General features: G+C 37.3%; 1 long non-coding RNA gene across 1 annotated transcript in view; it reads left to right on the top strand.

Annotated features, from left to right (window-relative positions):
* The window catches only part of LOC107986023 (uncharacterized), a 142,619-nt gene that overhangs the window by 89,556 nt on the left and 35,974 nt on the right, over positions 1-17,089 (top strand). The window lies entirely within an intron of this gene.

The following is a 17,089-nucleotide window of genomic DNA, read 5'->3' as shown; positions in this document are numbered from 1 at the left end:
GTTCAAAGATCTTTATGTGTAGGTGCTCTTATTGTGCCCCGGTAAAGATGAGTAGAGAAAAGAATAAGGAAGAGCCTCCCAGGTAAATGAAATGGCATATTTGAAGGTGCAGAGGCAAGAGCAGTCTTGGAATATTTTTAAAACTGAAAAAATAATTATAGTATTATAGAAGCATAGAATGTGAGTGAAAAAAAGACCAGAGATGGGGCTGAAGAGTTAAGATGGAACTAGAAGGATGAGGTCACATGACTGCATTTCAGGGACCAATTAGGGGGTTGTAATTCTGATCCTAGTAAGAGACAACAATGGCTTGAACTAGGATAGTGATGAAAGGGAACAAATTCATGGAAATCCATAAGATAAAGTTAATCCAGTTTGGTAACTTAGGTGTGGGAAAAGGTGAGGCAGGTTTGGTTTTAAGTGTGTGCTAGTGATGGGGGTGCTGTTTGGTGTTAGGTTTAGACATACTAAGTTGAGGATCCCTCATAGACATCCACGTGGAGATGTCAGGAAGACAGGTGAGTATGTAAGTTTTTAATTCAGTCCAAAATGGAGATTGAGTTGGCAGTTTATACATGTTATTTAAAGGCAAGAGACTAGATGAGCTCACTCAGGATATGAGTGTTGGTAGAGAAGAGAGGATTGTTTGGTCAGTTATATACACAGTTATATATAAACTAATACACATATGAATAAAAGAAAATCTGTGAAACCTACCTTTAAGGGGAAGATGAAACAGAAGGAGCACAGCAAAGGTGACTGACTAGGAGTGTGGAGAAAATGGATAGACAATCAGGTGAGAGAATGTGCCCTAGAAATCCAGAGGTGAGAATGTTTAAGAGACCACTTGCTGAAGATATTTTCAAGGCAACTGAAAGCTGGCCCCTTGAGATTACCATTTATGAAGTCACTTGTGACCTCAACAAAAGCAGTTTTGGGTGGTGAAGACACACTCTTGTGTGATAGATTGAATAGTGGAAGTGGAGAGAAAAGGCATAGAATGAGGAAGAAAGAGAGGGAGGTAAGGAGAGTGGGAGGAAACAAAGGAAGGGAGGGAGGAAGGAATGAATGAAGGCAAATGAATGGGGTATGTGTGGAAAGGTGTCATTAGGAAGCAGCACATAGTATTCAATAACAAATTCCCCATCTAAAATAATGACTATGAAGATCATAGCTGTATGGTTTTGAGCAAGTTACTTAACCTCTACTTTCTTCAGTAAATGTGAGCATTAAATAGTTTAATATATTATGAAATGCTTATAATAGTGTCTGGTGCATACTAGGCACTGGAAAATGGAAATTCTTAAAATAAAATAGAAGCTATCATCATTATTTTTAGCATCATGGAACTATCATGAAGCACCACACTCTCAAAAGACAAGAAAGTGAGCCTCAATTTGAGATAGATTTAAAAAATCTCATTAGTACCGAAAACACATAGATAAATTAAATAAAGATTAGAGAAGAGCTGCAAGGGTAAGAATTTGTGTCCTTATTACTTGTTGTTATTTGTCATCCTAATTACCATCAATATTGTTTAACAGGCAGCCTGATCTCTGAGGGAAGCAGGGCGACTGAATTTCTGACTACAAGTGAAATAAATGTTCACTCCTGGGAGGTGTTATTTCTTTCGGCTCCAAGGAACCAGCTGGTGATATAAAAACAGTTAATTGGATTTTTCCACTTCCCTCAGAAAAAGCTTCTAAAAGAATTTATTCTCTTTTTATATGGGAATATTTTATTCACAAAAATCTTCTTTTAGTATCCATCTATTCAAGACTTTAAGAGGAGTTTGGTACTCCATCTATTGGATCCCCCCAGGCCATTTTGACCCGCGTGAATCCCAGTGATTATTGAATGATTTTTCTTGTTGGAAGGGAGGCAAATGCTTTTAAGAAGGTCAATACAAAATTTTTTCCAAAAAGGAAATAAATGTTAAAATAATTAATGGTTCTGTGAACTATAGCCCTTATTCAGAAAAAAAAAATCAGTTATAATACCTCTATTTACATTTGCGATGTCCAACACAATAGCCACATACGGCTGTTGAACACTTGAAATATGGCTAGTGGAGCTGAGACACTACATTTTAAATTTTATTTAATTTTAATTCACTTAAATTAAAAACTGATACTTGATTGAGTTATTTGAAAATTTTAAGTAAGTTTTGAACAACTTGGGCATGTGAATCTACTTTTCATTTCTTTTTTTTCCTAGCAGGCATTTATTTATTTAAAATTGTATATATTTCATGTACAAAGTGATCTTTTGATATATACATACATAGTGAAATTGCTACTGCAATCAAACAAATTAACTTATCTATCACTTCAAATAATTATCTTTAAAATTTGCTAGAATCTATTCTTCTAGCAAATTTTCAGTATACTATACAGTATTATTAACTATAGCCCCCATGCTATACATCAGATCTCTAGATTTATTTATCCTATGTAACCACAAGTTTGTACCCCGTAACCTACATCTGCCCATTTTCTCCCCGTCTCTGCCCTTGGTAAACACCATTCTACTCTCCGTTTCTATATATTTGACTTTTTTAAGACTTCACATGTAAGTGACATTATGCAGTATTTTTCTTTCTGTGTCTGGCTTATTTTACTTAACATAATATCTTCCAGGCTCATCCATGTTGTTGCAAATGGCAGGATCTCCTCCATTAGCAAAGGCTAATAATATTTCATTTTATATAAATGCCACAATTTGTTTTGCTTATTAGTCTCACTTTATTGTTTTTTAGCAAAAATGCTTAAAATAACAATATTTAAAATTAATAAGTCAAAGCATATTTTATTTATGTAGCGTCCATTTTAAATTATAATTTAATAAGTATGACATGAAATCTAAGATAGCCACTATAAGGTAGAATTATTCTCAACTGAACATATAGTTAATACAATTAACTAAATAGCTATCATTTTAACTTAATATTGCTGGACTTTTTAAAAAATAATGTCCATTTTTTTAATATGATTTACATTCTTTTTTTTTTTTTCTTTGAAACGGAGTCTCTCCGCGATGCCCAGGTTGGAGTGTAATGGTACAATCTTGACTTACTGCAACCTCTGCTTCCCAGGTTCAAGCGATTCTCCTGCTTCAGCCTCCCGAGTAGCTGGGACTACAGGCTCGCACCACCACGCCCGGTTAATTTTTATATTTTTAGTAGAGACGGGGGTTTCACCATATTGGCCAGGTTGTTCTCAAACTCCTTACATCAAGTGATCTGCCCACCTCAGCCTCCGAAAGTGCTGGGATTACAGGCATGAGCCACGACGCCTGGCCAATTTACATTCTTTACATATTTGCCTCCTGTTCTTTTGTATTTGCTTTTGGAGATTTAATACCACCAGGTGACTCATTTGGATTTTGTTCTTTGTCTTAGAAAATTAAAAGCAACCATGTGGTTAACTTCACTATTGCATGATTGACTGAAGGTGATTTAAATTTAGTTCTTGGGATACACATAGTTTGCTAAGAAACAGAATTGGCAATCACATGAACCTTTTGCTTTGTTTTCATTGAATCATTTATCTATTTTCTTGCAGTAAATATTTAATTAATCTTTGAATATTAAATACATCAAGAACCACTATACATTTCTTTGTTAATATTTGAACTAATCGTGTAACATTGATTTCAATGGTAATTATATTTTCTTTCAGAGACTGTATCTGATATATTTTTCATGAAAGAATAACCTTTGTGGGGTGAGAGCAAAACTTTAAAAGATACTAAAGTACGTTAATAGGTTTATTTGTGCCTTGGTTTCATTTTCGGGTCTCTTAATATTTATGAATATTGCAAATGTTGTGGGAATACAGTATGCATAATATGGGATCATAATGTGTTCAAATAGTTGAGTAGCCCTACAATAAAATCAAGAACAAAACAGAAAGAAGTTTAGAAATTATAACTGATAATTTTCAGAACTACAAAGGTAAAAGTCTTAACATTCTCTCATCAAATGGCTTTAAGTAAATTTCCTAACTTCACTTAGTCTGTCTCTTTACATGAAAATATGAATAACAGTACTTACAGGTTATTGTGATAATACAGTGAATATTGTATGTAAAATTGCCTGGCCTGGTTCCTATCACAGGTGTATTTAATAACAATTTTTTTCTTTTATTTTCTTTTTTTAAACAAACTGTAGAAATATTCCTTTTAATGGCTTCTCTACAGTTTGTAGCCATAAGGCAGGAACTATTTCTACTACTTTGACTATCTTTTATTTTCTTTTTCTTTATTAAAAATATTTTTTATTTCAATAGTTTTTGAGGTACAAGTGATTTTTGATTACATGGATGAATTGCATACTGGTGAAGTCTGAGATTTTAGTGCACCCATCATCCAAGTAATATACATTACACCCAATGTGAAGTGTTTGTTTTGTTTTTGTTTTTGTTTTTGAAACGGAGTCTCGCTCTGTCAACCAGGCTGGAGTGCAGTGCCGCGATCTCAGCTCACTGCAAGCTCCACCTCCCGGGTTCAAGCAATTCTCCTGCCTCAGCCTCCCGAGTAGCTGGGACTACAGGCGTCCACCACCAAGCCCGGCTAATTTTTTGTATTTTTAGTAGAGATGGGGTTTCACTTTGTTAGCCAGGATGGTCTCGATCTCCTGACCTCGTGATCTGCCCGCCATGGCCTGCAAAAGTGCTGGGATTACAGGCGTGAGCCACAACCAATATGAAGTTTTTATAGCTCACCCCACCTCCCACCATCCTCCTTCTGAGTCTCTGAAGTCCATTACACTACTCTGTATGCCTTTGAATACCCATAGCTTAGCTCCCACTTATAAATGAGAACATATGGTATTTAGTTTTCCATTCCTGAGTTACTTCACTTACAATAGTGGCCTCCAGTTCTATCCAAGTTGCTGCAAAAGACATTATTTTATTCTTTTTTATGGCTGAGTAGTATCCCATGGTGTATATATAGCACATTTTCTTTATCCACTCATTGGTCAATGGGCATTTAAGTTGATTTCATATCTTTACAATTATGAATTGTGCTGCAATAAACATACATATGCGGGTGTCTTTTTGATATAATGAGTTCGTTTCCTTTGGATAGATAACCAGTAGTGGGATTGCTGGATAGAATGGTAGATTTACTTTTAGTTCTTTAAAAAATGTTCATATTGTTTTCCATAGACGTTGTGCTAATTTACATTCCCACCAACAGTGTATAAGCATTCCACTTTAACCACATCCACACTAAGATCTACTGTCTTTTGAGTTTTATTTCATGACCATTATTGCAGGGGTAAGGTGGTATCTCATTGTGGTTTCAATTTTCATTTCCCTGATGATTAGCAATGTTGAGCATGTTTTCATATGTTTGTTGATCATTTGTATAACTTCTTTTGAGAAATGTCTGTTCATGTAATTTGCCCACTTTTGATGGAATTTTTTTACTTGCTGATTTGTTTGAGTTCCTTGTATATTCTGGATATTAGTCCTTTGTGAGATGCATAGTTTGCAAATACTTTCTTCCATTCTGTGGATTATTCATTTACTCTGATGATTATTTCTTTTGCAGTACAGAAGCATTTTAGTTTAACTAGGTCCCATTTATTTATTTTTGTTTTTGTTGCATTTGCTTTCAGGGTCTTAGTCATGAATTTTTTTGCCTAGATCAATGTCCAGAAAAGTTTTTCCTAGGATGTCTTCTAGAATTTTTATGGTTTCAGAGCTTAGATTTAAATCTTTGAGCCATCTTGAGTTGATTTTTGTATAAGGTGGAGAGATAGAGATCCTGTTTCATTCTTCTATATGTGGCTAGCCAGTTTTTGCAGCACCACTTATTAAATAGGGTTTCCCTTCCCCAATTTATATTTTTTTAATGCTTTGTCAAAGATCAGTTGGTTGTAGGTATTTGGCTTTATTTCTGGGTTCTCTATTCTGTTCTATTGGTCTATGTGTCTAGTTTTATACTGGTATCATGCTGTTTTCGTAACTATACTCTTGTAGAATAATTTAAAGTCTGGTAATGTGATGCCTCCATATTTATTCGTTTTGCTTAGGATTGATTTGGCTATTCAGGCTCTTTTTTGGTTCCATATAAATTTTAGGATTTTTTTTCTAATTCTGTGAAAAATGATGTTGGTATTTTGAGAAGAATTGAATCTGCAGACTGCTTTGGGCAGCATTGTCATTTTCATGATATTGATTCTTCCAATCTATGAGCATGAGATGTGTTTCCATTTGTTTGTGTCATGTATGATTTCCTTCAGCAGTATTTTGTAGTTATTTTTGCAGAGATCTTTCACCTCCTTGGTTACATATGTTCCTAGGTATTTTAATTATTTTTTGGCAGCTGTTGTAAAAGGAATTGAGATTGAGTTTTTGATTTGGCTCTCAGCTTGGTTGTTGTTGGTGTATAACAGTGCTACTGATTTGTGTACACTGAGTTTTTAATCTAAGACTTTACTGAAATTATTAATCAAATCTAGGAGTCTTTTGGAGGGAGTTCTTCAGGTTGAAATGAAACAATGCTAAACAGCAGTGTGAAAGCATTAAAAAGTATAAAACTCATTGGCAAAGAAGACAAAAAAGAGAATGCTTTATTACCATAACAGTAGTGGGTAAATCCATTATAATCCTACTATGGAAATTAAAAGACAAAAATATTAAAAACAACTATAACTAAAAAAGTTAATGGATATATACTATAAGAAGTTGCAAATTATGACTTCAATAGCATATAACACAGGGGGAGGAGAGGTAAAGGCAGAGTGTTCTTTCATGCAAGGGAAGTTAATTGTTATTAGCTTAAAATAGACTATCAAAGTATAAGATATTTTATATCAGGCCCTTGGTAACCACAAATAAAATAGTTATAGAAGTTCACAAAAGAAAAAGAGAAAGGAACCCAAACCTAGCAATATAAAAAAATGGCAAGAGAAAGAGGAACAAAAAAACCATGAGCCGGGTGCAGTGGCTCACGCCTGTAATCCCAGCACTTTGGTAGGCCGAGGCAGGCAGATCGCCTGAGGTCAGGAGTTCAAGACCAGCCCGGCCAACATGGTGAAACCCTGTCTCTACAAAAATACAAAAAAAATTAGCCAGGCATGATGGCTGGTGCCTGTAATACCAGCTACTCAGGGGGCTGAGGTGGGAGAATCGCTTGAAACGGGGAGGCGGAGTTTGCAGTGAACCAAGATCGCGCCATTGCACTCCAGCCTGGGCAACAGAACAAGACTCTGTCTCAAAAACAAACAAAGAAACAAACAACAACAACAACAACAACAACAAACAGAAAACAGTTATCAATATGACAATAGTAAATACTTTCTTATCAATAATTACTTTAAATGTAAATGGACTAAACCCAAAAAAGAGACACAGAATGGCCAAATAGATTAACAAAAACTGCATCCAACTGTATGCTACCTACAAAAGACTCTGTTTCAATTCGTGGACAAACAAACTGAAAATGAAGGGATAGAAAAAGATATTCCATGCAAATAGTAACCAAGAGAAAGCAGAAATGGCTATTCTTATGTCAAACAAGTAGACTTGAATTCAAAAACTGTCTCTAGAGACAAAGAAGTTCATTACATAATGATAAAGGATGAATTCAACAGGAAGATGTAATAACTGTAAATATTTGTGCACCCAACATCAGGGCACATAAGCATCTATAGCAAATATTGACAGATCTGAAAGAAGAAATTGACAGCAATGCAATAATAGAGGGAGACTTCAATATAGATAGAGCACTCATACAGAAAACTAAAAAGAAACATTAGACTTGAGCAACGGTATAGACCAAATGGACTTAGGCACATTTTAAAAATTATAGCAAAATATCTGGGAATTTGTCCAAAGAAAATATCAAAATGTAGAGAAAGTTTTATGCAGGATAAAATTCATGGCAGCTTCATTTGTAATCAGGAAAAATTGAAAATATTTTGTGCATACAATAGAGAAGTGGTTGGGTAAATTATAGAACATTATTTTAATTGAATTATCATGAAATTATTAAAAATATTCATGATGTTCACATAGCAATATGTAAAATGTTTATCAACCAATGCTAAATGAAAAAGGCAGAATACAAAATTTTATTTGTATTAAAATTTCAACAAATTTTAAGTTTTATATCCATAAAGACACAAACTGGAAACGGACATGAGAAAAGAATAGTTGAGTTGTTAGGCTAATGGAAATGTGTGTATGTTTCTTTATAAAAGGGGGACATTGTTTTGTATAATTATTATATAATAAACATTATGATTATTATAATATTTATATAATAAGTAAATATATAGTGGATCAGAAAAATAGGTTACAATGAGCAGAAAAACTTAAAAACTTTTTTTAGTAACTAAAAATGTTTCCAGAAAATAAAAATATCTGGATTGAATTAACTGAGTCTCTCCATTTATGTAATACGGGATGAAGTTTCTTTTCCTTCTAAAAGGGTACCAAGGCCAAATGTTCTTCTTGGAGTCACGTAACCCAGACAGAATCCTATTTAGTATATGTTCTGTTGGTGGTTTTAGAGAAAAGAAAATCTAAAAAGCATTTGGAAAAGAAGTGCTTTGATTGTTAGGAGTAAGACCAAGTAAAGACTGTCAGAAGTATTTGCAAATGTATGAAGAGCTGCATTCCTCATTAAGAGAGGGGAAAAGGGATGTCACCCAGAAGATAATTTTGTGCTAATGTAGGTGACAGCACTATGATGTGTCTCTCTCTTTTCCTGACCAGATTTTTCATTTTTCTTGTTCCAGTTCATTCTGACAATTATGTGCAGCCTAATTACTTTTTTTGGCTTGGCTTCAATTGAGGCCCTTTATCCCCTATTCCTCACTTAAACTCAACATTACATAATTGTTTGCATTTTTCCTTTTTAACCCCTTCCGATAACTGCTTTCATCAGTGAATTTCTACTGACTTTAAAGCAAAGGATATTCATTTTCTTATATTTTGAAAGCTAAGTAACCTTGTCTAAAATTAATCAGCAAGACTCGAAGTAGGGTTATAAAAATGTTATTAGCATATGGAAATCATTAATCATTGATATATTATAATGCATTCAACCCACACCACTTCATAAACCTGACTTTAGAGGAGAATTAAGTGATTTGTGGGACACAATTTGAATACTGAAGAAGGATAGATTGTTTTAATATTTTAACCTTGGAATAATTTTTAAGTGATAGGTTTGCAGGTGCTGGCACTTATTCTTTCCTTATATTTACATAATGTGCAGGAATATTTTTTATTCACCAATCATACTTAGCATTGCTCAAGCTAGAAGATGAGTGTTTTAGAGGCAGTTTGGCTTAACGTAAAGAGAGTAAGTTTTGGAATCAGAGAATACTGGGTTCTAATCCAATCTCTGCTATGGCATGCTTTAGGACAAGTTACTTAACCTCTTTGGTCTTGTTTTCTCATCTTAAAAATGTGAGTACTATCTCATTACATTGTAAGGAACATTAAATTAGCTAAAGTATGAAAACCACATAGACTCTGTCAGCACAGAGTACTCAGTTAATGGTAGCTATAGCAAGTATAGGACTCCACTGAGATTGTTACTCTGCTTTAACAACACATTCTAAGACACTAAAGAGCACCCAAAGAAGATAAGTACGTATCCTGAAGTAGAAAAACAGGTCGTTCTCAAGCAAGTTTTAAGAAATAAAAGGAATTCGAATTATTTGAAATAGACGTATGACAATTGAAGGCATGACCTAATAGACCTCTTCAAATACATGAGGAGGTGTTATGAAGACAAATAGGAATTCATACCATTTCAGTTGTATTCTGGATAAAGGAAAAATGAATTAAATCTCAATGAGGGGTTTATGCTCAACAAAATGGTCACTATTTTAACTGTGAAATCTTAGACCCAATTCTAGGAGAGATTGCAGAATTTCCTGAATGGACATGGGTAGTTGCCTATACAATGTCCATTTCCTCTTCCCCACCCCCAACCCCCCCCCCCTTTTTTTTTTTTTGAGACAGGTTCTCACTTTGCCACTCAGGCTGGAATGCAGTGGAGCGATCTTGGGTCACTGCAGCCTCAATCTCCTGGGCTCAAGAGTTCCTGCTGCCTCAGACCCCAAGTAGCTGGGACTACAGGCGTGTGCCACCATGCCCGGCTCCTTTTTTGTATTTTTTGGTAGAGACGGGGTTTCATCATGTCGCCCAGGCTGGTCTCCTGCTGAGCTCAAGCGATCCACCTGCCTTGGCCACCCAAAATTCTGGGATTACACGCGTGAGCCACTGTGCTCAGCCTTCCCTTTTTAATAGTACCCAGAATCTTCTATGCTTATCTATCCCTCCTTCAAATAGCCCAAAATTGTTTGGGAGGGAATCTCACTCTTTCCCTCATTCCAGGGGTGGATCCCAATTTCCTTATGTTAATGAACATATCCACCACGCAGGTGGTCGTGGGATTTAAGATGCCCAATCAAACTAAATTTCAAGACTCTTATTTAAATCGCTGGGAAATACATTCTCTTTCTTCAGAGTGGTTGGTGTAATATTCAGAGGTGAAGCCTGGAACTGTGGCAATCATTTCAGGATAATGAGGGAAGTTGGCCTAAAGGAGGAAGAGTAGAGAAACAAGAAGAAATTAGGACCTTGATGACATTGCAGAGTTTACCAGGCAAACCAACTGCAGCCCACTTGATCTTTGAATTTCCTGAGATATAAGCCCAAGTTTTTTCTAATGTTCAAGTTTATTTTCTCTTCTTGCAAGAGGGAGTCCTAATGGACATACAGAGGTCCTCCCTTCTGAAGTTTTGCCACATTTTCAAGTATGTTTGTGTTCTCCACAAAATGGGCTAAGAACATTCTCAGGGGTAGTGGTTATGAGTTGTGTTTATTTTAGATCTCCTACCACACCTAATGGCATGCCCTTTGTGCAGTAAACCCTCCAGAAATGTTTGTTTACTGAGGATCATGGCTGGCTGGCCCATTGTCAGATCATATTGTATCTATGATTCTCAGCAAGTGCACAGATTGGTTTATTGGTTATCTTCAAATCCTTTTCCCATGCGAGGCTGCCACTGTCATTATCTTTCAGACTGGGAAAATGGTTTCAGCAAATGAGTTTGCTACCTTTCATTTAGCTCTATGCCACTCCTGCGTTAGCCAGAACCTAGACTGTCTGGAAAAAAATAAGAGGTTTTAGGGGAATTCTACTAAAACCATCACAGCAGTCATAGCTCATTTTTAGGAGGTGCTAAATATCTATGGAAATAAAACTTGCAACTCCCAGAACTCTTAGAAAATTAATATTTTAATTCAACTTTGTGCATGGCTTGCTAGTGTAATATCACATATAATGGAAAAACTGAACCATTAGCTAATCTTCAAATAGTTTGTGATGTTAGCATTTAAACTACATCTATGGTAGGAAAAATTATGTATGATATAAATGTGATTAGCATAGTTTATCACATGCCATGGACTTCCAAAATCAGTGTTAGGTGAGTATCAAATCCTACTGTGTGTGATTCTACAATATCCTCCTATTCCTAGGTACTTGAGGATCCCTCTCATTGTTACATTTCTTCTACCCTGTCTTCTTATGAAGCTAAAGCCATGGCTTCCTTTTTCTTTTCCCAGATAAAAGCTTTTGACCAAAAGCTTTTGTAATTAATTTATGCATATATGTAATAATAATTTAGCGAAATCTTTGCCTCTCTGAATCTACTTTGGCATGACAAAAGCTATCTCCATCATTTCCTGTTTAAAAAGGCACACATTTTAAATCACGATTCCATCCTTGGCCCAATTCAGAGGTATATCTACTTTCAGGTGAAAGATTATGGAACTCAGGACAGGTTACAGAAAATGTCCTGGTTTGTATGACTCATGGTATTAATAGGATTGAAGTTCTTTGTGTTTGCACAAAACAAAAAACAAGGGCTGACAAAGTGCAGCCTTATTGCCAAGTTCCTGACCTTTTAAAGACTTGTAAAGATTGGGATATGTTCTCAGCATAGTGAAGATTCAAGGCCACTGAGAAAAACAAAACTATAAAATTCTGACAGTGACTTTTCCTCACAGTGTCTGCAATCCCTTTCCAAAGCTACCTGACAGCCTTCGGTATACTATAATGATTATTAAGGATTTTTTTCCTTTCTCCCCATTTGTAATAGCCTGTCTGGTTTCCTAGCCATATAGTCCCTTCCCTCATACCAGTCACAGGCTCTACTCTAAATAACAGGTAACACTTATTTAATGTATACCATATGAACCTCCCTCCTAGCTACTACATGTATTAATGCTATTTTCCTAACAATCCTATGAAGAAGATACTATTCTTATCCCCAATTTAGAGATGGAGAAATTGATACACAGAAAAGTTAAGTAGTTTGTCCAAGGCTATATAGCTAGCAAGTGGTGGGACCAGGATTTGAATCCAGGCAGATGAACTCTAGGAGTCTATACTATTAACCACTGTGCTCCACAGTCTTACAGCTGACTTCAGGTTCTAAGATCAAACTGACAAGCAAATAAGAAAAATTTAAGGCCAGATCAGCATCCTGTTGGCCTGCAGCTCAGACTTGATCTGCTTTGCCTTAGACCTCAGTTTTCATGATTGGGTATGTATTTCAACATCACCTCTTGCTCTCTCAAAGCATAGTTCCTGCACAAGATAGGTTTTTTTTTTTTTTTTTTTTTTTTGGAACTTATGTATGGGAAAGAATTCCCACAACCTGATGTTGGAGCTCCTGATCCTAGCTTGCTAAGCAATCTTTGCTTCCTTATCAGCTTGCAGACTCTGCAGCTTGCTATAGCCTGTTGCCTACTACCAAACCTCTCCATTCCTGACTTGGCCCAGTCTTTGGCCAGTTTATTAGCTGTCTACCTCTCTTAAGGCTGGCAGACAGCTCTCTGGATTTCCTTCATGTCTGTCAGGACAGCCCTAACACCTGGCTTGCCCAATGAGTGCATATTGTTTATGGTTTTTGTTACCCTCAAAACTGACCCAACCAGCCTCAGTTCTGACCCTTCCTTTTTTTGTCATTTCCCACTTATCTTCTTAGTGGGCTCTTCATCTGACTCCACCAAACTTTCCTCCCTCTACCTTTCCACCTTTCTTATGGAGCACATCATTTTCTGCCTCCTCTCTATTTTACTTATTTTTTTAAATCTTCATAATATCACCTTCTTTGGTTTCTCCTGGAAACATCTTATTTTCCCTTTTTTTACATTCCCTATTAATTGTTTCTATCTCAATTCTCACATACTCTTCTCCCGCTACAAACTAGATGGTTTGGAATCAGCAGTTTTCTGATCTTGAAAGAGTAGGTCTTTCACCTACGCTCTATATGCTGGAAAAACATCCACGCTTTAGACTCATGTTTCTGATTTGCAGTTTTCACAGCCTTAGTTTCCTCATCTGTGAAATAGGGACAATAATATTACTTCACAGAAACATTGTAAGGATTGCACAGGGTCATGTATTAGAAAGTACTTGAATAGTATATTACATTAAACAAATGTTAGGCATTATTAATACGAAGAATACTACAGGGCCTTTAAAATATAGAAGAATAAGTGATTTCTACTCTGCATCATAAACCAGCCCAAGAATTACAGCACTCTGTTTCTGTTCTTCAATGTTTATAGCAGATGTTGATATATAGAGCAGAAAGAACCAAATGCATTAGGAAGCTTAAGAGCTTGTAATAGCCATAGGCATTAGATATACAGGTCTCTGGAGACTCTCAACATCTTTGTCAAATTTTTCAGTACCTTTGTCAAGTTTCTTGCTTTCTTTACTGGACTGGGAATAAAAGTTTTTCTTAGATTAAATCAGACATTTTAAACTGGCAGTTTACTGGCTAAATTTGACTTTTTGATACACCTCATGTGACAGAATAGTAATCTTTTTAAAAAGATGCATGTGAATGCATTTAGGTAGTATTGTGGATCAGGTTCTCCCAGAAGATTCTCTAAGCCAAGAATTTGGGTGTGAGTGATTTATTTAAAAAGTGTTCCCAGCTGGACATGGTGGCTCATGCCTGTAATCCCAGCACGGTGGAAGGCCAAGGCAGGAGGATCACTTGAGCCTGGCAGGTTGAGACTGCAGTGAGCTGGGATCACGCCACTGCACTCCAGTCTGCACTCCAGCTCCAGTGAGCTGTGATCACACCACTGCACTCACACCACGGCACTCTAGAGCAAGACCCTGCCTTAAAAACAAAAATAAATAAAGTGCTCCCAAGAGAAACTGATAAGGGAGTTGGGAAACATGATAAGGAAGGGGAGAAGCCCAGTAAGGGTGTGATTCCAGGTGAAGTTACAGACTAAAACAAATGATATCTCAGTTTATTGTTCCTAGTGTTAAAGGAGTTGAGCTTTTATATACCCTCCTCCCCTGCAGGAAGAGGAGACAGCATAATCACCAAGTTCTTCCCTCGTCCTTATCAGTGATTAACTTTAGGGCCCAAGAGCAAGCCTCTGAAGGCCACACGGGTGAAGTATTAGCAGCAAAGCATGTAAGAAGTGGGGGAAGGGCACGCAGCTGGTGAAAGAGATCTGTAGGTTCCAGCTGGGACACCAACAAGGTCCACTACAAATGGGGTACATGCTATTTAATGTGCCACAGTCCTACCACTTCCAGTTCCCACTCCTGGCCAGCTGCAGCGCCAGGGTTTCTATAATGGAGGGATTGGCATGACACTGTGGCTGGAAGTGGAAGGCTATCATGAGGCTGTGCTTACTTAGCACTTTATACAAGATGAGAAAACATCAATTGTCCATACCTGAGATTGGAGAATATATTGGGGATTAGGGGAGTTTGTGTTAAATTCCTCCCTCCCCAAGCCCAGTTTTGTTTTCACCCCAACATTTAGCCATTTCATTATTTGGCCTGGCTCCTATATGCATTTTCATGTGGTGACTGCATAACTCGTGTGATAGGAGATTAACACGATGATAGAATGTTAGACTGAAGAGACTTAGATTATTTGAACCTCTCCCTTAACTTTACAGATTATGAAAGGAGGTTCCCAGATGTTGTGACTCTCATAAGGTCACAGCGCTAGTGGTGGGAGAGACTGTGTAGCACCTATGTCTCCTGACTCCCATGGGGTTGCTTAGTCTAGGGCTCAGCTTCATTCAGTCCTTCTACACGTGGGTTATGACGAGGCTGACTCCTCAGAGAGACTGAGTTAGATAAATTTATTAAATTGTAGGGCTCAATATAAATGTTTAAGTGTGGTTATGATCTCAAAAAGAAATATCTTGTCCAGCCAAAACTGATGAGCTTTGAGGGGCGGCAGCTACAGGTTATTGCACAGAAAATGGAGGGCATTAAACTTAATTCTCTGTATGATGCTTCTAATATCTCCTAAATGTGTTTTATATCCTCAACGTTTCCCACAAACTCATTGGTAAAGGCCTCACTTGATTTTAGTTCACTGGAGCTGATGACTGAGGTAGCTAAGGAAATTGGCTTATACTTCACACTTTAAAAACATAAGTGATCCCATACCATAACTTTTTGAACTGTCCCAAGCATCAGTTTGCTGAGGATACATCATTTTAGAAACATGGAAATGTCAATGAAATGAGTTAATGCCTAAACTAACATTTAGTACCATGCTTGGTGATATGGTTTGGATTTGTGTCCTCATCCAAATCTCATGTCAAATTGTAATCCCCAGTGTTGGAGGAGGGGCCTGGTGAGAGGTGATTAAATCAGGGGAGCAGATTTCTCCCTTGCTGTTTTCATGATAGTGAGTTCTCACGAGATCTGGTTGTTTAAAGGTGTGTGGCACTTTCCCCCGTTTCCTCCTGCTCTGGCCATGTAAGATGTGCCTCCTTTCCCTTTGCCTCTGCCATGATTTAAGTTTCCTGAGGCCTCCCTAGCCATGCTTCCTGTACAGCCTGCAGAACCATGAGCCAATTAAACTCCTTTTCTTTATAAATTACCCCATCTCAGGTAGTTCTTTATGGTAATGTGAGAACGGACTAATACACTTGGCATAAAGAAAGCAGTTGATAAAGTTTTTAAACAACAAAAATTACATAAAGGGCTAAGGGCTTCTGACTTAGGTTGGAGGAATATCTTGGGATGCTTTTCATTGTAATATTTTCCAACATCTACATGGGAAGCAAGAAACTTGGCCTGGTTGCTTGTTGAAACAATTCTCGAGAGGAGACCCAGGGAGTTCAGGCTGACTGTTGAGCATTGTTAGAACTTGAACAAAGGAGACTGGTGACTAACTCAAGGACAAATTTGTGGGTTGAAATATGAGGATTCAGGCTGACTGACAGGCTGAAGCTGGATACTGGGTAGGAGTAGAGAGAACCTGGAAAGACATTGCAGAGGATCAGAGAAAGAAAGGCAGAGTAGAAATTGGAGACAGAGGCTCAGATGTTTCATAGCCTGGCCTGGCCTGGAGAGGGTTAACAGCAGCAGGCTCTGGCCTGAATGATTGAGGATCATGCACTTTGACAGTCTGGAGGTCAAGTACTGCAAGGTTGCAAACCGCAGCTGCAAACCGCAAGGTTGTTCTGGGCAGCTAACAATTAGCCTGGTGTGAAAAGCCCTCTCATTTATCTTTCTTCATGGTTGACATCTGATGGAGTCATTCAATTCACGTCAAACTCTTTGACAAATGATGTTGGATATGATTTATTTGGCTCTTAAACAGTGTAAGTGCAATTCAGATATATGGTCTCCCTCCCTTCACCTATCAGAAGACAGTATCTTCTTAGCTACCACGACAAACAGAAGATTCTATACTACCAGAGCTGTGCCCCAGCATCCTGGGTCTTTATGTTTCCATCTCTCCCCTAGCCACCCTCCTTCTCCTGCGGGTGTTTCTGTGGTTTAGTACACAGAATAGGCTGAGCCAATATGAGAACGAGATGGTTCAAGCCTCACTTTTTTTCCCTCACTGACCACTCAATTGCCCTAAGACCATCATACCAGGCCAAGCAGGTAGACACAAATTTTATTTATGGGAGGGTTAAGCAATTTTAGCATAAGTTTATAAAGAAGGCCAAGAGTTGATTTCTCCTTCCCCTGGATGCAGGGTTATGGGAAGGAATGACATCTTTTTTGCAACTCTGTATCAGGTATAGACAGA

This window comes from Homo sapiens, chromosome 3, assembly GCF_000001405.40.
Source record: "Homo sapiens chromosome 3, GRCh38.p14 Primary Assembly".
Lineage (NCBI taxonomy): Eukaryota > Metazoa > Chordata > Mammalia > Primates > Hominidae > Homo > Homo sapiens.
Note: the sequence above shows the minus strand (reverse complement) of the source record. Positions and strands in the feature narration are given on the sequence as shown.